This window comes from Homo sapiens, chromosome 22 (genome assembly GCF_000001405.40).
Source record: "Homo sapiens chromosome 22, GRCh38.p14 Primary Assembly".
NCBI classification, from domain to species: Eukaryota; Metazoa; Chordata; class Mammalia; order Primates; family Hominidae; genus Homo; species Homo sapiens.
The window spans coordinates 29,651,603-29,676,703 of NC_000022.11; the positions used below are offsets into that span (position 1 = coordinate 29,651,603).

The window sequence follows — 25,101 nt, forward strand, 5'->3', positions numbered from 1 at the left end:
TTTCTTCCCTTGTTGTTTAAAGAGACATTTAAGAGCAGACACATACATCAAGGTGGCTTTAATGTTGGAAGCAGAGTTAGTCCAGTGGAGAAGTTCTTTCAGCAGGGTCTTTGCCACCTCTGCATTGCTCAAATGTGATGTATTTGATCAGTGGACTAGCTGAGAACTTGGTATAATAATGGGGGTTGTTAATCTTGCATGCCTTTGGAACCTGAATTTACAGCTTTAACTTTGCATATCTGCTTGCTTTTGCATTAGAGCTTGGTCAGCACTGTTGAGAGATTTGCAAATGCAACTAACAGGGCTTTCTTTTAGCATCCTACCCTTTCAAAAATCCAGGAGGCAAACAATGATCAATGTTGTCATAAGTAATGCAGAGGATGGCAATAATAATAATACCTGACTTTCACCATAAGCCATGTGCTGTGCGAAATGCTTACCTGTATTGTTTTACTTCATCCTCATCATCCCCTATAAGGCAGATGCTATTATGACCCTCACTCTACAGATGAGGAAGTTGAGGCTTAGAGAGAGGATGCCTTACTCAAGGCCTCAGAAGGGGTACTTCAGCACCCCCCCACTTCCCTTCAGGATCCTCTAAGGCCAGTGCTCTCATTTGACAAATGAAAGACAGATTTGGAGAGACCTGAGATCTTTTGGACATCAGGTTTATGTGTCAAGCATAGTTTTATTTATTTTATTTTATTTTGTTATTTTTTGAGATGGAGTTTTGCTCTTGTTGCCCAGGCTGTAGTGCAATGGCATGATCTTGGCTCACTGCAACCTCCGCCTCCCGGGTTCAAGCGATTCTCCTGCCTCAGCCTCCCGAATAGCTGGGATTACAGGCATGTACCACCACGCCTGGCTGATTTTGTATTTTTAGTAGAGACGGGTTTCTCCATTTGGTCAGGCTGCTCTCAAACTCTCAACTTCAGGTGATCTGCCCGCCTAGGCCTCCCAAAAGTGCTGGGATTACAGGTGTGAGCCACCACGCCCAGCCAAGCATAGTTTTAAAAACTTTGCTGGTCTTATTTAATTAAATCCCTGTAAGAGTCCTGCAAGATAAATACTATTATTATTCCTGTTTTACAGATGAGAAAGCTGAGACACAAAAATTTCCAAGGCCACATAGCTACTATGTGAAAGATGTAGGATAAAACCTTAGGCAGCCTGCCTCCAGAGCCAGGCTCCTACCCTCACTCTACAGCTGCCTTGCAGGGAGTACTGTTAAAGCTTAGTACAGTTACGACTTACTGCATCACATCTCTGAGCCTCCCAGAAATAGAGAGATACCAAGGCCTTTCATTTATAATTTCTAAGTTATTTTTTATTTTTATAGACAGGGTCTTCCACTGTCACTCAGGCTGGAGTGTAGTGGCACAATCACAGCTCACTGTAGCCTTAACCCGTGGGCTCAAGTGACCCTCCCATTTTGGCCTCCCAAAGTCCTAGGATTACAGGCATGAGCCATGGTGCCCACCCTATTTTTTTAAATGAAGAAATGCCTAAACTGTGTTACAAAAACTGTGGCATGTTTAAAATGTTTAAATTTGACAAATTAGGCCAGGCGCGGTGGCTGACGCCTGTAATCTCAGCACTTTGGGAGGCTGAGGCGGGCAGATCACAACATCAGAAGTCCGAGACCAGCCTGGCCAACATGGTGAAACCCTGTCTCTACTAAAAATACAGAAATTAGCCCGGGGTGGTGGCGTGCACCTGTAATCCCAGTTGCTCAGGATACTGAGGCAGGAGAATTGCTTGAACCTGGGAGGTGGAGGTTGCGGTGAGCTGAGATCACGCCATTGCACTCCAGCCTGGGTGACAGAGCGAGACTCTGTCTCAAAAAAAAAAAAAAAAAAAATTGACAAATTAATTCTCTTAAGATTCAAAAAAAACAATGCAATACAATTCTGCTATTTGAAAGATAATTATGAGATTCAAAAGAAATATGAATTCATGGGGCTTTTACAGTTAAGGTGATATGGGAATGAGACATGATTTAAAGTTAATGATGAATATCTTCTTTCACTCCTGTGTCTGTAGTTTTAGGCCGCTTCATTTGGAGAACACACCAGAAGTCTTAACTTGAGGCTCTTTGAGAATGAGAGAACATAACGAAATAATGAGATTTGGTGGTATATAGAAACAGCAGCCTTGTGCCTGACCTTTGTTTTTTCACTGTTGGTGGCTAAAAGAATAAATGTTTATAGATTATACTGAAGTACTGAGCTTTGTTGTTTTTGGTAAAATGAAGAGCCACTGTACGCTGATTGATAAGAGATAGGCTTTGATTTTATATTCTACTGTATGTTTCAGTTAGTTTCTTTTTAAACATTCTTTAACTTTTGATTATTTCCTTATCAGACTTGAGTTTTCTAGGAAAGGAGTTTTTTTTTTTAATCAGAGAATAAATTTCCAAGTCATTGTCCCCGGAGGGATAAATTAAAATGCAGGGCCTATTTCCAACCGCATTAGTGACTTCTCTGTAGCTTTAGGAAGATCAATTAACCTTTTACTCACTTCTTTGTCTGTACAATAGGAATGGCAGTGTTGACATCAGATTTTTCCAAAGTATTTTTCAGAAACTTGGGTGAAAGGTATTAAAACTACTGCCTGCATTATTCCTGGATCCCCCTAGTAATGGGCTCCAATTACCAGTCACTTATAAGAATTTATAGGTAAGACTCTTATCATATGTTGTTAATCACAACTTTCACAGTTGTGATTTGGTGTTTTAATTCAAAAGCTACTGTTTTGGAAGTGACTGCTTTCTTTGAGGGTTAGAAAACATGCCCACATTTCCATACAAGTGTCACATTCTTGTTAGCACATCACCCATCCATCTCTTACAGGATTATGCAACTCAGTTCATAGATATAATCAGCTTTGTATTTTCATTCAAGGATAACAAACTAGCAAGGTTGAAATCTTGACTTGTCATCGGAATTGAATTGCTCCCTGGAGCTGGGAGGGAATGAGATTGGTCCAGCTCTGTTCAGAAATGGCAGTTATCTTTAGAATCTCAATCGCCTGCTCTCCCTTTCTTCTTTCCAGTATGGTGACTACGACCCCAGTGTTCACAAGCGGGGATTTTTGGCCCAAGAGGAATTGCTTCCAAAAAGGGTAAGAGATTAAATTCCCTTTTCAGGAAGACATAGCAGATATGTGGTCTAAAAGAAAGCTAACCAAAGGACTTGAAGGAATATTGGAAGTACATAGCAATTTAATTTTAATAAATATTTTGTAATCTCCAGTAAACAGTGTGGGATCTCTGTTAAGAATATTAAAAAGCAAAGGTTTTTGGAGTTAGTTTGGGGTCACCAGGACTAGCATGGCCTGTAAATGTTTTTTCTAGCGTGGTTGTTTTTTCAGATGCAGTTGAGCATCATTGATTCCCAAAGAGGAGGCTGGAGCAGAGTGTATTCAGCTTGGGGAATTGAGCTGTTTGCAGTGGCGAGGGGCGGATAGAGGAGATGAGGTAGGGGTGGGCATTGTGGTTTTTAATCCTCAGTGTTGTTCATCTTATTCATTAGCCACAGAAGCAGGCCCGCCCTCCCTTTTGCTCCTGCCGATTTTACAGCCCTCACTCATCTGTCACTGGGTAATAAAGGCCCGTTTCTCACCTCTCACTCTCTTTACCTGTCCCTCGATGGCTTCTGAGCATGTGAAGGCCTGAGATGAGTGAGCATTGCTTCTGACTGAGCTCCGCTGTCAGAGGTGGTCTCTGTGATGTATCGCCCAGGCAGGGACAGGGGCACTGCCAGATGAGGGTTGCACCTAGGTCTGAGTTATCATGCAGCTTTCTGAGTTGCTCCTCCAATAGAATGGTGCCTTATTTACACGCCCTCTCTCTGTGTGACTATCTCCCTGGGTGTAGCTTTTTAAAAATAGCTTTACTGTTTTGTAAAAATGATGCATAATTATAAAAGTGGCAAACAATACCAAATTTACTTCATGTGTAGGTTTTTTATTTTGCTCTATTTTTTGGTAGGTAATAAATCTGTATCAGATGACTCCGGAAATGTGGGAGGAGAGAATTACTGCTTGGTACGCAGAGCACCGAGGCCGAGCCAGGTGAGGCCCATTCATTGTTGGTTTACATTCCTTTATGGGCTTTTTTTTTTTTTTTTGCCTTAAAGAACTGCAAAACTAGGACATGCTTGTTAAACAAAATGCAGTACTGAAGTCTATAAAAGAAAAGGGGAGAGCTGGGGAGCTGGGAGTAACGTTGGTCTTCAGTTTTGTGTGTGTCCTTTTCTAGTACGTATGACATAAAGTAGGTATGTGTACTGCCTGTCAAGATATATAGACCTGTACTCACTGGTAATTAAGTTTAAGATTTTTTTTTTTTTTTGAGACAGAGTCTTGCTCTGTTGTCCAGGCTGAAATGCAGTGGCGCCATCTCAGCTCACTGCAGCCTTGACCTCCTGGGTTCAAGCAAACCTCCTGCCTCAGCACCCCCAGTAGCTGGCACTACAGGCACACGCCACCATGCCCAGCTAGTTTTTCTATTTTTAGTAGAGATGGGGTTTCAACATGTTACCCAGGCTGGTCTTCAACTCCTGGGCTCAAAGCAATCTGCCCACCTCGGCCTCCCAAAGTGTTGGGATTAGAGGCGTGAGCTGAGCCACTGTGCCTAGCCTGAATTTTAAGAATTCTATTGTATGGCTATCCCATTGCTTTTGCATCCATCCCTTTATTGATGGCATTTGAGTATCTGTAGGTTTTTCACTTTTACAAAAATTTCTGCAGTGCACAATCTTTTATTTTTATACAATTGTATGAGTAGTTCTGGGGATATATTCTTTTTTTTTTTTTTTTTTTTTTTGAGACGGAGTCTCACTCAGTCACCCAGGCTGGAGTGCAGTGGCGCGATCTCGGCTCACTGCATCTCCGCCTCCCAGGTTCACGCCATTCTCCTGCCTCAGCCTCCCGAGTAGCTGGGACTACAGGCACCCGCCACCACGCCTAGGCTAATTTTTTGTGTTTTTAGTAGAGATGGGGTTTCACTGTGTTAGCCGGGATGGTCTCGATCTCCTGACCTCGTGATCTGCCTGCCTCGGCCTCCCAAAGTGCTGGGATTACAGGCATGAGCCACCGCGCCCAGCCAATATATTCTTTAAAACAAGAGTTGTTGGGACAAAGGATGTGAGCATTTTGCATTTTGCCAGGTACCACCAAATTGTTCTCCAAAAAGGCTGTACCTGTTTATACATGCCTGTCGACAAGTGTTATGAGAGTGTCCCACCCCCCACCCCCAGTCTATCCTCAACAATTGTTTTTATCAGTCTAATTTTTGTAATCTAAAAAGTGAAAAGTTGTATTATGTTAGAATTCCATTCCCTTGATTAGGAATTGGTCATGTTTTCATTAGCCTTTAACATTTTTTTCTCTTCTTCAAATCAGTTTCCTAACACTTTTTTTTTTAAACTTAAGTGCAACATGCATATGGAAAAGTAGACAAATTATAAGTATACAACTTGATCAATTATTGTAAGGTGAAAACACCAGAGGAAGAAATAACCTGTGTCTCCCTACCCCCAATTCCCCTTTCTTCCTCCCCAAAGGCAACCAGTCTCCTGATTTTTAATTCCAGATTGGCGTTGCCCATCTTAAACTTTGCATTCTGTTTTTTGTGTCTCCTTTTACTCAGCATCATGTTGTCAGATTGGGGTTTGTGGCATGTGGCAATAGTTTTCTCATTTTCATTGCTGTATAGACTTCCACTGTATTAGTATATTAAAAATTATTTATTCATTCTACTAATGATGGACAGTTAGGTTGTTGGGTTGTCCCCTGAGTTTTGCTATTACAATAATGTCAAACAATTTCCCAAAGTAATTGTACCAATTTACGTCAATGTGCATGATTTCTGATTTCTCCACCTTTTCACCAACACTTGGCGTTCTCTCAGGCTGGGTTTTTAAAAATTCATTGAGAGCATTTGGAGATTGGAGAGAGAAGGAAGAGGACAAGGTCATAGGGAGACTTGAGTTAAAATATTTCAGTATGATACCTGTTTGGGAGTTTTCTGCAAGTTATTGCTACTTCAAGAGCTTACTTTAAATTATAACTTAGATGAAGGTGATCTGACTTGGGTTTTACAACCCAGATAACTCTTGCCCTAACCTCCAACAATACTCAGGAAGCTTGCAGAGAGAGCTGTTTCATTTCCAGAACCTTCCAGGTAAAGAAAGTACACAAAGGAAAAGCAAGAACTTAAATAAAATTCCAACACCCAAATCTGTTTGAGGGTAGAAGATAACATACCACACACTCTTGTTGAATTACTTGAGATGAGTTTACTGTTTACCAAGGGCAAGGTGGGAAACTAAGGCCAAGAAACTCCGTGATGAGTCTGTTCTCTGACTATCTTTTGATGGGGATGGGAAATTCTGCTTGACCTCAGTGTGTTTAATAGACTCAGGGCCGGGCAGAGCTTTGCTGGTGTCTGCTGTGGCTTTTGTCTTCTGGCAGCGACGTGGCTCTAGAGGAATGGCAGGGTCAGAATGCTTGATTTGGTGCCCACCCGCTCTCCACCCATCTCACTTAGCTCCAATGACAGTGTCTTCCGTTCTCCCCACAGGGATGAAGCTGAAATGGAATATCTGAAGATAGCTCAGGACCTGGAGATGTACGGTGTGAACTACTTTGCAATCCGGGTGTGTTGAAACCTCTCTGAGCTCCTTGTGTAGTAGACAGAGACTGAGTGAGGGCCAGACTGCTAAAATGGTTACTTCTTCATTCCAAGGCGATAGACTCTTTTATGGTTCTGTGGTAAAGAAGGAAAGAGGAAGGAAAGAGAGGTCTTAGTGCCTAACTTTCTATTTTTGGACTTCAATTAGATCATAGGTAATTAAGTGTCACTTGAGCCTTGGGGGACTTGGACCTGGTTCTGCTCTCAGCAGAAACCTGTTTGAATGCTCTGAGTGTAAGATTTGATTATTTCTGGCTCTGTGAGATCTCCGTCCACAGGGAGCACTTGTAAGTACTTCTCCCCCCAACACACACCCCACCCCCATCCCCACCCCCACCCCCACCCCAGGCACTAGTAGAGTAGATCTGCCTTTATAGATTACTGATTTGTTTGGGATTCTCACTATGAGGCTAATTGGTTTTCTATTCAGACTATTAATAGTCTGCTGTCTGCTGGGAACCCACTGCTTCTGCAGGGAGAGGCATTTGTGTGCAGCCCAGATCTGGGCCTTTAGAATGTCTTTCTCCTGTGGGTCAGTATCTGGATGCAGTGTATAGGCAGCTTCTTACAAAGGGATGCATGCGATTTGCCAAAGCATTTCACTACGGACTCCAAACTGCAGATGAGTAGATGTTAAAACAATGAGGCGGGTCCACCTTTATTTTCATAGTCATGCTTTGCTTTCCCTTATTGGGTTCCTACAGTTGTTGTATTAAATTCAGGTAAATTGAAACATATTTTAAATATTCTAGGATAGCTTTCTACTTCATTTGTATTTTGTAAATACAGATTTGTATGGATTACACTGCATAAGAAAATAAGGCACACTTAAAGTGCCTAAAAGATGCTCCATAATAGTACAGGAAGTTCTTTTCTAAAGTTCTGTCAGTTTGTATTTGCTAATTGCTTGGTTTCTTTAAGGTCAAACTAATGTAACACATTTCTGTGGTTTTGTCAACTCAACTCCTCTTGCCCCATGTTCTGGCCACCTAGATTCTAGAAAACTAAAGTTTTATAATCCTCAGAAAACAGTTTTTTTGGTTTTTAAAAATCTTTTTTGTTTTTTAGAGGTGGAGTTTTGCTATATCGCCCAGGCCTGCTAGGCTCAAGTGATCCTTCCACCCCAGCCTTCCAAGTAGCTGGGGAGTATCACTGTGCCTGGCTGAAAAGGTTTCTTATTAGGGAATATTTCTACATCAGTCAGACTAATGGATACTGTTTTTTGTGTGTGTTTCCTATATTGAGCAATAGACAAAGCTACTGGCTATCTTAGTGTCTTTTATGTTAAATTTCCTGAAATCTCACCATTAACTAAGGAAGATGTATGCTTAAAACAGTTTAAAAGGGGCTGCTTGAGTCCTCACCTCTCTCTCTGTTTAATCTCTAGGAGTGTTGGAGTCATAATGGTAGGAGGCAGAAGGCTGAATCTTTTTTTAAAAATTTAAACTAAATAGTCAGAAACTATTTTCTGACTATTGAAACACAATGAAACATCTCATTTTCCAAAATGTACTGCAGATGTAAAAGTACAAAGCCTCACTTCTATTAATGCAGTAGCTTTCATGGCTTTGCTGACGAGCAGAAGAGTCTCTCATGGTTTGGTGATAGCACCTGACTTCAGGATGTTAGGAGTAAAAAGATTTATGCTGGAGTACTCACTCCTCAGTCTGATATCTGCTGTTAGATGGGTACTTCTCTTCACAGTCCCAGTACCTTCTCAGTTTGCAGACCTGTTTTTCTGCCCTTGAGTCTTGGTTCAGTTTCCATTATCGTCAAGGGGTCAGGAGCTGTAGTATCCTTGTGCAGCGAGTTTCCTTCCACTCCAAATGAGGGCTAGACCACAGCACTGGCGGGTGGACCTGCACGTGAAGATACAGCCACTCAGTCCGTCGCAGGTTCAGTGCTGTGGGAGCCCAGGGCACCCGCCGCGGGCTGCTCTGACTGCTGGCCAGGACCGCTGTCAGGGGCAGAGCATAAGTACGGCTTTTAGACAACTTTGTTGATGAATAGAATTCTTTTTGATATGTATTTCCCATCATGCAATTATTAAAAATTTCAAACTTACAGGAAAACTGAAAGAATTTTTCAGTGAATACCCATATATATGCACAATCTAGATTCTACAGTTAACATTTTACCAGACTTGCTTTATCACATGAAGACTACATTTTATCATAAAATGAGACCATCCAGCCCCAGGCACTGAAAATTTTCTTCCTAGTAGTCCAACAATGGTTTCTTTAAATATAAGAAATCATTAAACCTATGGGTTTTTTTTGTTTTGTTTTTTAACGAAGTCTCTCTTTGTCGACCAGGCTGGAGTGCCGGGGCACCATCTCAGCTCACTGCAGCCTTCTGGGTTCAACCAGTTCTCCTGCTCAGCCTCCTGAGTAGCTGGGATTACAGGCGCGTGCCACCATGCCCGGCTAATTTTTTTGTGTGTATTTTTAGTAGAGATGGGGTTTCACCATGCTGGCCAGGCTGGTCTTGAACTCCTGACCTCGTGAACCGCCCGCCTCGGCCTCCCAAAGTGCTGGGATTACAGGCATGAGCCACTGCTCCCCGCCTAAACCTATGGGCTTTAATTCTATACCTATGATAGCCTGCTTATTTAACCAGAGGGAACAACACTTATGTTACTCTTCCTTTAGCCATCGAGCCAGTGACAGAAGCCCTCAGTGATTGTTCTGGGGGACCCAGAAGTCACAAGAATGGAACAGTTTTGCTTCTACCTGCCCCAATTCAGAAAGCTGAAATCTTCTTGGTTTATAAGACAGCTGTGACTTCTGTTGGGACCTGCTGAAACTTGTCACATGTGACAGTGTGTGCCAGATTCTTTGGAAGGTTGAATAAAATTTTGAGCCTCAGCTGGCGCTTACAGTAGCTGTTCTTATTGGATCCACAGAATAAAAAGGGCACAGAGCTGCTGCTTGGAGTGGATGCCCTGGGGCTTCACATTTATGACCCTGAGAACAGACTGACCCCCAAGATCTCCTTCCCGTGGAATGAAATCCGAAACATCTCGTACAGTGACAAGGAGGTAGGACATGTGTGTACTGCAGATGGGTCCAGCAGATCTTTCCCTGTCTGCCCCCCTCACTGGAGCCTCCCCAGCCAGGGCATCTCCTTGTTATTCATAGAGTCCTTTAATTCCCAGGCTTTGAGGGTGTGGTTGTTGATTTTCGAAGTCTTTACAGAACAGTATTGGCATCAATAACCCCACTATGACTAATAGGAAACTGGGAAGCTCAACTGGCCAGGGAGAAACCCCAAAGAATAGTGAACAAAAACAGTAACATTTTCTTATTACTTGGCTTTCTATTTTTGTCGATACATTCTCTTTGTATGTTTTCTTTTCTTTTTTAGAGACAGGATTTCATTATGCATGCCCAGACTGGATTTGAATCCTGGGCTCAAGCAATCCTTCCACCTCAGCCTCCTGAGTAGCTACTACAGGTGTGCGCCACAGCACCTGGCTTAAATTCTCTTCGTATTTTAAGTGTGGTCTTTATTGAGCTTTCTTTCTGTGTCCGGTGCTTGATACATGTGGCAGAGAAATACATATACACACATATACACATATGGACATATATGTGTTTTGTGTGTGTATCTCTCAGTAATTATATAAATAAGTATATTAGGTTAATATGCTTACAAGAATTCCAAAATAATTAAGGTGGAATAACTTAGATAAATGCTCTTAGAATTTAAATATTTCCATATAGGGTGGTGACTTTTACCAAAAAGGTCCCATAATGTATAATCTTATGTTTACTCATCCATCCATTCATTCATTCACTCATCCATTCATTCATTCTTCATTCATTTTATTTTATTATTATCATTTTTTGAGACAGGCTCTCATTCTGTCACCGAGGCTGGAATGCAGTGGCACATGATCACGGCTCACTGCAGCCTTGACCTCCCTGGGCTCAGGTGATCCTCTCACCTCAGCCTCCCAGGTAACAGACTACAGGCGTGTGCCACCACATCTGGCTAATTTTTTGTAGAGATGGGGTTTTGCCACATTGCCCACCAGGCTGGTCTTGAACTTCTGGGCTTGAGCAATCCTCCCACCTCAGCCTCCCAAAGTGCTGGAATTACAGGTGTGAGCCACTGTGCTCAGCAGTTCTTCATTAATTTTAAAGGAATTATTGAGCATCTGCTTTGTGTTAGATTTCATGGGGGAAACAAAGATGTAGAAAATCCAGTCTTAGCATTCAAGGAAGTCAAGTAACTACTCACCTGCTATAATAAATAAGTGCCGTGGAAGAGACATGATGACAACAAATGTAGTCTTCCACATACAAGCACATTCACCCTGACCGTCTGAATTTAATCTCTATAAGAACACTGCTGTAAAGGCAGGGGCTGTGTTGTCAATATCTCTGTGTCACATCAGGAAGCAGAGACACAGAAGGATCAAGTGACCTGTGTCTGAGTGAAGTAGCAGAGATTAGGAGCCAGAGTTGCTGATGCCACAGCCCCCGCCTTTCAGGGAGGCCCAGAGGCTGAGTCCTGAGAGCACAGGGGCACTGGGGAGAGGGAGGCTCCACTCAGTGACCTCCTGGTACCTGCACAGCCAGGACACAGACTAGAGAGTGAAGAACAGGAACAGCTTATGTTGCTGCCTGCAGAGCCCCAAACCTGAGCATATTTCCTGTTTTCTCTTTTTCATGGCAACTCAAGGAAGGGAACACCAGGCCCCTGGTTTCCAGTATATGGTTGGGATCTACTCAGCCATGCTTGATAAGACAGACTGAGCCCCTTAATTCAAAACATTCTGACTTTGAAGTTTTTGTTAGTAGTTAGCCCAGGAGATAAGCAGTTAGGTATTTCTTTTTTAAAGTACTTAAATTGAAAGTTCCACATGACATAAAGCTGTATGTGTGCCACCGTATGGTAGTTTTTCATCTCCCAATTTCATAAAGTCTGTTTATTGCACGTCCACACATTTGTGTGCTAAAGGCTCCCTAAACACCCGTTCTTCAAAGAAGCCAAGGATTGAAATCTCCCATACTATGGCCTGACACAGTAAACTCTAATATGCCCTCTCCGGGGGACAGGCGCCATCATGTTCCATCATGTCAATAACTCATGCAGTAAGCAGACCCCAAGCTGACTTGACATAAAAGAAGTAGTCTTGGTAGTTATGCATGACAGCCATGCTGTCAAAACAGAAATGTTAGTTTATTTTAAATGATCCATTGATTCTTTGTGTACGCCCTGGCATGGTGCAGAGCCTGCGGTTTCCCCACTACTTGTGGTTTCCCAATGACAGCTCCAGGGTTTGACAGCAAAGCCAAAAATAAGCTCACAAAATTCATGAATAGCAGCCTACACAAGAGCAACACTGCTTCTAAGTTAACTTGGCTGAAAGCTAAACAAAGGATCATTTTCTGTCCTCAGTGTACTAACCCCTTCTTGGGCAATATAACGTGTGAAAGAAATATATCTTCCCAAACATATTTATCTGCTTAGCAAGTCTTTCTTGGGAATGGATATCCATTTTGTAAGTGCATCTTGGAAATCTAGGATCTGTTTGGTCTTATCGGGAGTGGTTGAGAGCAGCAGCCATTTGTTCCTTGCAGGCTTTCCTGCTAGTGGTCTAACCCTAGGTTCTCCTACCAAGCCACCACCCTGTCTTTATCATTCATCTTTCTCTCCATTTTGATTTCAGCATCAAGAACTGTTTTCCCTTCTACTATAGTCCATTTTTTCCCCATTTGATTCTATTAACAGCTTTTACCAAATTATTCCCATGTTCAGAAACCTGTGGTGAGCTCAGGTATCCTGTCACATCAAACCTAAACCCTTCTTTTTTTTGAGATAGGGGTCTGCTCTGTTGCCCAGCCTGGAGTGCAGTTGTGCAATTACAGCTCACTGCAGCCTCAAACTCTTGGCCTCAAGCGATCCTCCTGCTTTGGCCTTCCAAAGTGTTGGGATTACGGGTGTGAGCCACCATATCTGGCCGCCTCTGACTTTTATTCTCACTGCCAGCCCCTACACCCACCCCTTCCTCCCTCTCAGGCTAAACCTATTATATCATCTTAGTCACCAAAAAGCTAATACCACACACACACACACACACACACACACACACACACAGCTCATTTCCCTGTCTCTACCTTATTTCTGGTTTTGCCCTGTGCAGAATGCCCCTTCACCTGCCTTTTAGCTACCCTGTTGGATTGTTCTTCTAAGATCAGCTTCACTCTCTCTTGCTTATGGTGGATCTACTCTGAACCTCCACATATTTGTGATTTGTACCACCCAGTGAAGCACTAATATTTGATGTGATTTCTTGAGTAATTGGCTGTTGTTAGCCTAGTTCCAACTAGATGGTGAGCTTCATGAAGGTGGGCCCATGCCCTCGACTACAGTAGCCCTCCAGTGTTGGCCTCAGGGTTGGGCCCATTAAGGATGCTTATTTTAGGTTGTCAAGAATCCCTTCCCACACTCATGCCTAAGATGGTCTAGAGAGCGTACCTTTAGGGTCCTGAGCTTCCACAGCCCGAGACTTGGTGCTCCTAATTCCCTGAGGTTTAGTGCCTGGATACTGGGAAGCCAGGACAAGGCATAACTTCATGCTGGTCTGTGGCCAGTGTGGTTGCGCATTTGTGGAATTTCCAATTGCTGGTAACATTCCAGGCTGTCGGACTGAAACTGTGTTCTGCTTCATTCTTCCAGTTTACTATTAAACCACTGGATAAGAAAATTGATGTCTTCAAGTTTAACTCCTCAAAGCTTCGTGTTAATAAGCTGGTAAGTTGAGATCCTGGTTTTCATTACTGATAATGGTAGCTTTTCTGAGAATTGAATACTTCTTTTTAAAGGATATCAGAGTGACATCTTGTGAAGTATAGAATGGTATCTCACTTGGCGCATACTTTCTGTTTAGCTTAAAGAGTTAAAACTAAATTATATCATGAAGAAGTTTTTTTTTTTGTTTTTTTTTTGAGACAGAGTCTCGCTCTGTCGCCCAGGCTGGAGTGCAGTGGCAGTGCCATCTCGGCTCACTGCAACGTCCGCCTCCCAGATTCAAGAGATTCTCCTGGCTCAGCCTCCCAAGTAGCTGGGATTACAGGCATGAGACACCATGCCCAGCTAATTTTTGTATTTTCAGTAGAGACGGGGTTTCACCATATTGGTAAGGCTGGTCTCGAACTCCTGACCTCAGGTGACCCATCCGCCTGGGCTTCCCAAAGTGCTGGGATTACAGTCATGACCCACTGCGCCCAGCCGATGAGGAATTTTTAAAAAGGATTTTTAATGCAGTATTTCATACATATAAAAGGATAAGTGTAACATATGAATTATAAAGAATAACAAAAGTGAATAGCTGTGTACCCACAACCCCACTTTAAGAAATAGCACAGTCCTGGCCGGGTGCGGTGGCTTACGCCTGTAATCCCAGCACTTTGGGTGGCCGAGACGGGTGGATCACAAGGTCAGGAAAAAAAAAAAAAAAGAAAAAGAAAAAGGAAAAAAGAAATAGCACAGTCCCAATACTGTTGAGACCCTTCATGTTAACACCCTGCTGGTCTCTCCTTTCCCTCTCCCCAAGGGTGATCACTGTTTTGAGTTGAGTATTCATCATCCTCTTGCTTTTCAACAGAATTTTATTTCATATATGGCAAAAGAAAAATACCATTCAATGTCATATGTTTATGAAATTTATCTAAATGCTGTCAAGTATATATATTCTTTTGTCATTTTCCTTTTCCTTTTTCATTATTTTTTTGAGATATATCTTTGTTGATGCTTAAAGATAGTCTGTTCATTCTCACCTCTGTAGCACTCTGTTATATATTTTTCTGATTCTTCTGTTAATGGATAATTAAGTGCTTTTTACTTCTATACTTTTTTTTTTGAAATGGGGTCTCACTCTGTTGCCCAGGCACAATCTCGGCTCACTGCAACCTCCGCCTCCCGGATTTAAGCAATTCTCCTGCCTCAGCCTCCTGAGTAGCTGGGATTACAGGCGGCCACTACCACGCCCGGCTAATTTTTGTATTTTTAGTAGAGATGGTGTTTCACCATGTTGGTCAGGCTGGTCTCGAACTCCTGACCTTGTGATCTGCCCACCTTGGCCTCCCAAAGTGCTGGGATTACAGGCGTGAGCCACTGCACCCAGCCACTTCTATACTGTTTTAACAGGCTGTTATGAAAACTTTTGTATCTGCCTCCTGGTGCACATAGGCAATAGTTTCTTTGGAGTCTTGAGTATACTGGGCTAGGTGGGGTGGCTCACGCCTGTAATCTCAGCACTTGGAGAGGTCAAGGCAGGATAACTGTTTGAGGCCAGGAGTTCGAGACCAACCTGGGCAACATAGCAAGACCCTGTCTCCAAAAAAATGAAAATAAATAAAATTTTTAAATAATAAAAAAGAGGGCCAGGCACAGTGGCTCAACTCCTGTAATCCCAGCACTTTGGGAGGCTGAGGCAGGCGGATCACCTGAGGTCAGGAGTTCAAGACCAGCCTGACCAACATGGAGAAATCCTGTCTCTACTAAAAATACAAAATTAGCTGGGCGTGGTGGCGCATGCCTATAAATCCCAGCTACTTAGGAGGCTGAGGCAGGAGATCGCTTGAACCCAGGAGGTGGAGGTTGCAGTGAGCCGAGATCATGCCATTGCACTCCAGCCTGGGCAACAAGAGTAAAACTTCGTCTCCAAAAAAAAAATAAATACATAAAAATAAATCAAAAATAGAGCTTAGAGTATATACACAGGAGTAGAAGTACAGGGCTTGGTATATGTTTAAATTTCAAAATTATGACACATTGTTTTCTAAAGAAGGTGAATCGATTTTTACAGACCCAACAGTAGTGGGTGAAGTTTGTTTTTTGCTATCCTTAATACTTGTATTATCAGCCTTTTAAAATTTTTGCCAATCTTGTGCATCTAAAATGGTATCTCATTATCAAATGAACTTTTTTTTTTTGAGATTTTGAGATAGGGTCTCACTCTGTTGCCCAGGCTGAAATGTAATGACACGATCATGTCTCACTGCAGCATGGACCTGCCCAGGCTCAGTGATCCTCCCACCTCACCCTCCCCAGTAGCTGGGACTACAGACACACACCACCATGCCCAGCTAATTTTTTGTATTTTTTTTATAGAGACAAAGTTTTGCCATGTTGTCCAGGCTTGTCTTAAACTCCTGGGCTCAAGCAATCTGCCTGCCTCCCCTTCCCAAAGTGCTAGGATTACACTTCCCAAAGTGCTGAGCCACCAGGTCTGGCCAAATGTTTTGAGTTTTTTGTGGAGATGGCGTCTCACTATGTCACCCAGGCTGGTCTTGAACTCCTGGGCTCAAGGATCCTCTCACCTTGGCCTCCGAAAGTGCTGGGATTACAGGTGTGAGCTACTGCACCTAGCCTGTTTTCTTTATTGGCTATATCTTCCAGTTTGTTGCTCTTTTTCTTTTTTTATGTCTTGACAATAAGAATTTTTAATTTTAATGTAGACAAATATATACATTTTTTCCTTAATCACTTTTTGTGTCTTACTTGGCATCTTCTCTTATCCTATGATCATAAAGATATTCTTCTATATTGTCTTCTAAAAGTTTCAAGGGCTTAATCTTTGCATTTAAGTATTTAATCCTTCTGGAGTTGATTTTTGTGTAAGGTGTAAGGGAGGGATACAACTTATTTTTTTCCACATGCATAACCTGTTGCCTCAGCCCAGCTTACTGAACGAGCTTTCCTATCCTCCCTGGTCTGCAGAACCACATCTTGATGTAGGAGAGTAAGGTGCACCCAGAAGACATGGTGAAGTGTCCTCCAGTCCTCTCTTGATTTATGATTTTTACCTCCTGGCATATCTGAGGCGCCTTCATTTTGCATGTTTCCAGAGCTGACGGCACTAGAGGCCACTAGTAGGGCTTTGGTGTTTCACTCTATGCATTCATCTTCACGTTTACTGCTACCTGCAAGAGCTCAAACTGCTATGGCACTAGTGGGCCAGTAGGCAGTGAAGTAAATTTGTGGATATTAACCTTTTTGTCTGCTTCTGTGGCCACAGATTCTCCAGCTATGTATCGGGAACCATGATCTATTTATGAGGAGAAGGAAAGCCGATTCTTTGGAAGTTCAGCAGATGAAAGCCCAGGCCAGGGAGGAGAAGGCTAGAAAGCAGGTGAGCACAACCTTGTTTTAACTGATGATGTCACTGTGTGGTCAGTCCTGGCCTGGGAGGCGAGGAGTGGTCATGGGCTGGCAGGAGTCTTTTGGCCGTGGACATACCTGCTCTTGTTTTATACCTTTTGGATCTTCATTTGCCGATGCCTACCTGGTGGGATGTCATCTCTGGAAATGAGGAATAAACCCTAATAGCATATCTAAAAGAAACATCTCTAGTAATTTCTACGCTTGGAGAAATTAAGTGTGATTAACACCAGTTTGGGATGAAATAGCCAAGAGTGCATGCATCTATCCGTCCGGCTAGCTAGCTTGCTTTCTTTTTTTGCCTGTCTGCCTCCTTGTGCAGCCTTCTCCTTTTCTAATTAGATGGTGATAGAATGCCAGGTGGCATTTCAGTGCTTGCGGCTGGAATGCTAATTTGACTCTGGCTGCAATTCCCCACTGCAGGTCAGGCCTTATGGCATGTCACCTGCCCCAGGAGGTGCCAGGAGCATCTATCAGCAGACTGGATGATCTGCATCATTGTTTTCTACTCATAAACCTTCTCTGCTCATGGAAATCCACACAACTAATTTGGGCCTTACTGCTGAGAATATCAATTGTGTTTTTGGATAAACTACTAGATAGAGTAGCAGCAGCTGCAGTTGGCTGCCCGCAGGACTTGCAAGCTCAGAAGTGTAATAATTAGTCTGTGTGCACCTTTCTGATTTGGATACATTGGAGAGGCTGGTCCCAGCCCTAGGATTTAGAATGAAATGCCCAGTGTGCTTTCAGCTCTCTATCTCTTTGCTTTCTGAGGTAGTGGGCCACAAATGTGTTCTTTGGGATGCTTTCAGGGTGATGGGATGGATTTGTTGGACAAAGAAATCCTACTGAGCCAGCATGGGGTCATAGTGGCAGTTTCATGAAGAGCTCGTGGCAGTGGCTCATCCCTATAACTCCAGCACTTTGGGAGGCCAAGGCAGGAGGATCACTTGCCTAGGAATTTGAGGCTGCAGTGAGCTATGATTGCACCACTACATTCCAGCCTGGGTGACCAAGCAAGACCCTGTTTTAAAACAGAAGCAGAAACAAAATACCAAAATAAATAAATAAATAAGTAAATAAATAAGAAGGAGGAGGAGAGCTTTCTTTGACCTTTTTCTTAGCAGAGCAAAGCTTAGAAGTAAGAAATCTGAAAGTGTCAGGGAATATGCAGTCTGTGGGCCCTGGCAGAGAATAGCAGGAACACTGCAGATCGGCACTGCTTACAGCACAGCAGAGCCACAAACCTGGCATCTGGGCAACCACAGATCAGGTGGACAGACACTGACCTTGGAGCCAGATCTGAAATTTAGAATGTGAGTAAGTCAATGACTTACCTTCCAGACCTTAGTTTTCTCATCCATCAGGTGAAACTAATGATATACCTTCTCCATCTCAGATGAAGGGACGTATATTACACCTTACAGTCTTTGTATGCAGTAAACTTCTTTTGTGAATAGGAGGTCTTTTATATTGGGGTAGAGGTCTCAGGGAAAGTACAGGGCCAGGAACTGAAGGAGATTACCTGGCTTTTTTTTTTAATAAAAGGGTCTTGTTCTGTCACTGAGGCTGGAGTGCAGTGGTGCCATCATAGCTCACTGTAACCTCAAGCTCCTGGGCTTGAGCAATCCTTCTGCCTCAGCCCCTCAAGTAGCTGGGACTACAAGTGCATGCTACCACACCTAGTTAATTTTAATTGTTTCGTAGAGATCAGGTCTTGCTATGTTACCCAGGCTGATCTCAAACTCCTGGGCTCAAACATTCCTCCTACTTCAGCCCCCCAAAGTGCTAGGGTTACAGGCATGAGCTGCTATGCCTGCCTGGCCTGACTGGGCTTTTTCTTTCTTTCTTTCTTAGTTTCTTTTTTTTTAAAAGAATTGTAGATATGTAGTAAGCCACCTTATGGAAATTGTAATATGATGGAAATTAGAGAACAAATTGGCCAAGCTTTTCATTGACTTACAAGGAGAAAATTGGAGAAGAACTTTCACTGTTTTATTGCTTGTCTTTGCATTATCTTTTTGAGCTTGTGTGTGTGTGTGTGTGTGTGTGTGTGTGTGTGTATTTGGCTTAGGATTTAGAAAAAGCAGCAGTCTTAGAAACCTTGTATGACCAGAGTGTGGGATAAGATTGAAGCAAGAAGTAATTAAATGTGCTTTAATTATTTAAGGCAGAAAATAGTGCAGTGGTCACTTCTGGGTTCTGCTTTTTGAACTCAGTTAGTACCCTGGGATCACAGAGGAATGGCACTGTCTTGTGCTTGTTCCCCTTATTAAGCTCAGCATGTGGCCCAATTAATGCAGTGATCCAGAAGGCAAGGGAGGTAGTGGTGGCTTTGTGCTGTTGCCTTAAGGACACGGGGCTGTGTTTCCCGCCTGGCTCCCTCCTGTCCTAGGCCTGGCTCAGGAGTTGTCTCCACATGAGGCTGTGCAAGTCTGTGCTGTGGCTGTTGCAGCTCCCCCCTGTGAAATACAATGTGTGAACTATTGATGCATCACGTAGAATGATTCCATCTTCTCTGTGGGTCAGAGGCAAGAGTGGAGCTATTGTTGATGAAATCAGAGATGTGAGAGGGGTCCATGTGGATTAGAAATGGTGAGATGGCTTGCCTGCCCAGATGAGAAAGCTGCTTATTTCTGGGGCTCTATCTGAGGGAGGAGGTCCTGCATTGCATCCCATCGGCCATGGGGCAGAGCCACCTGGGGTTTCCCAACAAAAAGCAACATTGGCAAGGTAGCCATTTCAGTGCACCGTGTATAAGAATGCCTCCTTCTGCCAGGCGCGGCGGCTCATGCCTGTAATCCCAGCACTTTGGGAGGCCAAGGTGGGTGGATCATAAGGTCAGGAGTTCAAGACCAGCCTGGCCAATATGGTGAAACCTGATCTCTACTAAAAATACAAAAATTAGCCAGGCATGGTGGCGGGTGCCTATAGTCCCAGCTACTCGGGAGGCTGAGGCAGGAGAATTGATTGAACCTGGGAGGCGGAGGTTGCAGTGAGCCGAGATCGCGCCACTGCACTCCAGCCTGGGTGACAGAGCAAAACTCTGTCCCCTCCACCAAAAAAAAAGAATGCCTTTTTCTATCCGGGTCAAGACTCAACAGGTTTTTATTGTTTGTTCATTTGTTCATTCACCACTAGACTGTTTTTCAAGTGGCACAGCTTTCAACTCTGCAACTGGTTTAGAAGGACGGGGTGGGGGGCAATAAGAATGACCCTGGCTACCTAAAGGAAAGGGAAGGAAAAAGGTCCCAAAAGGGGAGACTGGAGATGGGGCATCTTTGGGCCCTTGTGGCACCCTAGGTCTCGAGCCCTGTGATTCAATGACTGTTTTTCTTCACCCCTCGCAGATGGAGCGGCAGCGCCTCGCTCGAGAGAAGCAGATGAGGGAGGAGGCTGAACGCACGAGGGATGAGTTGGAGAGGAGGCTGCTGCAGATGAAAGAAGAAGCAACAATGGCCAACGAAGCACTGGTGATTTCTGAGGGGCTGGGGTTCCAGGAGGCTACTTGGGGACTTCCTTGGCTTTTCTGGAGCTTGGTCTCCTGAAAACCATGAGTTAGCAGCGTTTGCTTTGAAATACTTAATTTCAGCTTTGAAAAAATCAGTGCCTTTTCTTTTCACCTGTGTTGGCAGAAGCAGATTTAGGTTGAGCTTATGTGCAGCCAAACTCCACTTTCACCACGAGGTTGCCTTTATAGCAGGGCTTCTCAGCCTGGGCACTACTGACATTTGGGGCTGACCATCCTTTGCTGTAGGAACTAGATCCCAGTAGCAGCACCTCACCCTCCATTTGTAACAATCCAAAACATCTTCAGACATTGCCACATGTCTCTTTTTTTTTTTTTTTTTTTTGAGACGGAGTCTCGCTCTGTTGCCTAGGCTGGAGTGTACAGTGGCACGATCTCAGCTTACTGCAATCTTCACCTCCCAGGTTCAAGCAATTCTCCTGCCTCAGCCTCCTGAGCAGCTGGGATTACAGGCATGCATCACCATGCCCAGCTAATTTTTGTATTTTTAGTAGAGATGGGGTTTCCCCATGTTGGTCAGGCTGGTTTCGAACTCCTGACCTCGTGATCTGCCCGCCTCAGCCTCCCAAAGTGCTGGGATTATAGGTGTTAGCCACCGTGCCCAGCTGTACTTTTATTTTTTTTTTTTGAGATGGAGTTTCACTCTTGTTGCCCAAGCTGGAGTGCAATGGCATGATCTTGGCTCACTGCAACCTCCGCCTCCTGGGTTCAAGCGATTCTCCTGCCTCAGCCTCCCAAGTAGCTGGGATTACAGGTGCGCGCCAACACATCCAGCTTTTTTTTTTTTGTATTTTTAGTAGAAATGGGTTTTCACCATGTTAGCCAGGCTGGTCTTGAACTCCTGACCTCAGGTGATCTGCCCGCCTCAGCCTCCCAAAAGGCTGGGATTATAGGCGTGAGCCACCGTGCCCCACCTGCCACATGTCTCTTGCAGGGGACAAAAAACTCCTCTGGTTCTAACCACTGATTTAAAGGGAAAGAACAGAGTTTAAGTTGTTTTTCTCCACGTGAAGCATAAGCCTGAGCTGAGGTGGGTACTCAGAGAAGGTGCTCTTGTTACTCCCCATGGGTGCAGCCCGAAGGGCCCTTCTGAAAAGTTGGGGAATGTGGCTTGTCATTTCTTGTCAGAGGGTCATGGAGGGCACTCAGCAGCAGGGCCCCAGGAGTCCGAGACTCTGGTTTGTCCCATCTCAGTGTTCAAGGCAGATCTGGGCGGGAGAACAGCACATGATCCCACTTCAGCTAAGAGCACTGTGCCCTCCAGATGCGGTCTGAGGAGACAGCTGACCTGTTGGCTGAAAAGGCCCAGATCACCGAGGAGGAGGCAAAACTTCTGGCCCAGAAGGCCGCAGAGGCTGAGCAGGAAATGCAGCGCATCAAGGCCACAGCGATTCGCACGGAGGAGGAGAAGCGCCTGATGGAGCAGAAGGTGCTGGAAGCCGAGGTGCTGGCACTGAAGATGGCTGAGGAGTCAGAGAGGAGGTGAGGGGGCACCGGGCACCAGACTGGCGAGGAGGCTGGCGAAGGGCCGCAGACCAGCCTGCCCTGAGGCTGAGCTCTACAGCAGTTGTCCTCAAGCTGCTTGCCCATCTTCTGGGCCGTGGGGAGGCTCCTCCTTGGCTGATGGTGACTGGTGCTTTATCCATTTTGGGGCTGGCGCTACTGGTTGGGCACAGGAACTCAGTTCCCCCTCCAGGGGGGCCTCTCTGGTCATACTTGTGTCTCTTTGATAAGCCCCTGTCCCTCTGATGGCCGTGTGTGCAGGAAAACCCCTGAGCATATCCACAGACCGCTTTCAGCTGAAGAGATGTGAGGAGGCTCTTTGTGCATTTAAAAAAAGTGTGGTTCTTTTCTGCTTTCATTCAGTGGGGCTGCAGGAGAACAGCAGCTGCCTACCTTTAAAGGGAAGCTAGTGCCTGCATCCCCCAGCCTTTCTTGGCACATGGGGGAGGAGGGCTAGGATGATCTCTGTGACTGGGATGTCCCACTCATGGCCAGGTTGAAGGATGGAACTGTTGTCTGTACTTTTGAAAGACTATTCTAGGCCTGCAACCTTCAGATAAACACTGACACATTCCCCACAGCTTTTGGCTCTGTTGATTTAGAGCACTTGAATTTGGCTTTTAGCTACCAAGGTGCATTCACTACAGTTTTCCTCACCACGCTTTGCATGTCGTTCTGGGAATATGGTTCCTTTTTGCCTGCCCTGCTTCAGGCCCCTTACTGTATTCGGGGGTCACTCCCTGTGCATGATGCAGGTTGGGCCAGGTCCCTGCACCAGGCCTCACATGCCGTGACCACCTGAGCCCCATAGGATGAGGATCTGCACCAGGGTGCGGGTGCCCTCAGTGACTGGGCTCATCTTTCTGCTGGAGAAAGTGGGCACAAGGCCCACTGGTGTTTTATCCGGGGGCTGTGAAGACGCAGTTCTTGCACATTCTGCCCTTTGCGATCCAATATAAGAACTTTGATCCTCCAGGTTCTTCCTTTGCCCAGCTCACTCTCACCCAAAAATAAAGCAGAGAAAGCTGCTGGTGCCCTCTCCAGCTCCTCTGTCTCCTGGCTGCAGAAGGTCTGGTTTCTCTCATTCCCCACCAGTTTTCCTGCTCTTCCAGTTTAGATTTACCAACTCAAACAAAAGTCCTCAGGAATGTTGTCCTTGCTTGGAAGTTCTGATTTCATGTAAATATCCCTGTCTCACTGTCCTTTTTCACCTCTTTGGGTGCCATCCTCAGGGTTAGCCCAGGTCCCTCCTCTGCAGGGGTGGGGTGGTGTCTTTTCCTGCTACCTGCCCTCTTCTGTGAAGCTGACATCTCATCCTTTCCTTGCAGGGCCAAAGAGGCAGATCAGCTGAAGCAGGACCTGCAGGAAGCACGCGAGGCGGAGCGAAGAGCCAAGCAGAAGCTCCTGGAGATTGCCACCAAGCCCACGTACCCGGTGAGCCTGGGGGCCACCAGCTGGGGCTGCCTTAGTCCTGGTGATGTTCTCTTTCCTCCCGGCCCTTCAGTTCATCTGGCGGTGCCTTCAGGGTGACCATTCAGGCAAACACATGGCTGGATGAGAGGTGCAGAGAGCCTGCAGTTAGGGACTGGGTAGAACATCCTGGTCTGCCATTTGGCTTTGGACTAGTTAGTTGTCTCTTTGGTTGCCTGGATAACAGGCAACAGGGCCTTTTCCAGCTCTGGAATGTTTTTCTTTTTCTAAGTAATATAGTCCCAAATTATCCTCAAGAGAATTTGCTCTCTTGCCTCTTAATGCTGAGCTGAATGTAATCTTCAACTATCAGTATATACCATATATCATAATTATAGTTCTGGGAAGGGATTGGCTGTACACCTCAGAGTGAATTACTGCCGTGCAAGAACGAGCAGCCACTCTCAGTTTGGGGACAGAGAGTCAGACTTCCATTAAATGGGGTCACAAAATGAATAGAAGCCTCTTTCCTTCCTTTCTTCTGTGCATTCAGTTTGGCATTTTTTTTTTTTTCATATTTGTTCAGTGTCCACATAGTGCCATGCAGTTGGAAGTCTCTATCCTGACAGGTGTTCTCAGGGTGCACAGGTGCCTAGAGGAGGAGGACACAGCCCACCCTGGAGGAGCAGGAGAGGCTCAGTGTGGTGTCTACACTGATGCTTGAAGGGGGAGCAGGAAGTAGCCAGGTGGAGAAGAGAACATAGGGTATTCAGGGTGAGGGCACAGATGCACACATGGCCCAGACTCACACACAGCACAGTCATCTACATGGCACAGACACACACACGTACCCATACATACATTGATGCACATAGCACATCCACACACACAGCACGGACACACACGCACCCATACTTACATTCATGCACATGGCACAGGCACATACATGACCCAGATGCACAAAGGGCACCAGAGGCACAAGCTGCCCAGGGTTTGAGGTGGGGAAAATGTAAGCAGTTTGCTGTTGCCGTATATCCCGGTTCTCCGTTACTGTGTAACAACCCACCCAAGCCAGCTGTGTGGCTTTGTTAGTACCTCTGGTGGCTTGTTGGGTTGACTGGGCCAGACAGAGATCCTTGCTGGGGATCTCTCTGGTGGTCACAGTCAGATGGTAGCTGGGACTGGAGTCGTCTGAGCAGTCAACTGGGCTGAACACCTGAGATGTGTTATGTTTTTATTTTTTATTTTATTTATTATTTTTTTTTTTAGAGAGAGAGAGTTTTATTTACTCTGTCACCCAGGCTGGAATGCGGTGGCAGAATCTCGGCTCACTGCAACCTTAGCCTCATAGGCTCAAGCGATCTTCCCGCCCCAGTCTCCTGAGTAGCTGGGACCACAGACATGCACCACCACGCCCAGCTAATTTTTTTTTTTATTTGGTAGGGACAGGGTTTTGCCATGTTGCCACAGCTGGTCTCAAACTCCCGAGCTCAAGTGATCTGCCTGCCTCAGCTTCCCAAAGTGCTGGGATTATAGGCATGAGCCACTGTGCCCAGCCTATATGTGTTGTTTTTAAAATATACACTGGAGCAAAGCTTATACACTGCTGTAACTGCTCTTTCCTCTTAGCAGTCAATCCTGAAGGAGATCATCCATATCAGCTTTTTAATCATGTTTTGTTGTGTGGATGGATTGTAATTTATTTAACCAGTCCCTCATGGATGAGTATTTAGTCTGTTTTCTTTTGCAATTTTGAACAAAATGACACTGAACATCCCTGAACACA

General features: G+C 44.8%; 1 protein-coding gene across 26 annotated transcripts in view; it reads left to right on the forward strand.

Moving 5' to 3' along the window:
- NF2 (NF2, moesin-ezrin-radixin like (MERLIN) tumor suppressor) overlaps positions 1-25,101 on the forward strand; it is a 95,045-nt gene that overhangs the window by 48,047 nt on the left and 21,897 nt on the right. For 20 of the 26 annotated variants that reach the window (NM_016418.5, NM_001407056.1, NM_001407053.1 and 17 more), the window contains 9 exons: positions 3,055-3,123; positions 3,992-4,074; positions 6,587-6,662; positions 9,603-9,737; positions 13,388-13,462; positions 16,731-16,844; positions 20,224-20,346; positions 21,667-21,884; positions 23,234-23,339. The exons of 1 other annotated variant lie outside the window; for it this stretch is intronic. In NM_016418.5, coding sequence (NP_057502.2) covers positions 3,055-3,123; positions 3,992-4,074; positions 6,587-6,662; positions 9,603-9,737; positions 13,388-13,462; positions 16,731-16,844; positions 20,224-20,346; positions 21,667-21,884; positions 23,234-23,339 — 999 coding nt within the window. Of the gene's footprint in view, positions 1-3,054; positions 3,124-3,372; positions 3,479-3,991; positions 4,075-6,586; positions 6,663-9,602; positions 9,738-13,387; positions 13,463-16,730; positions 16,845-20,223; positions 20,347-21,666; positions 21,885-23,233; positions 23,340-25,101 lie in introns of all 26 variants that reach the window. 5 more of the 26 variants (NM_001407059.1, NM_001407057.1, NM_001407062.1 and 2 more) reach the window with 3 other exon arrangements.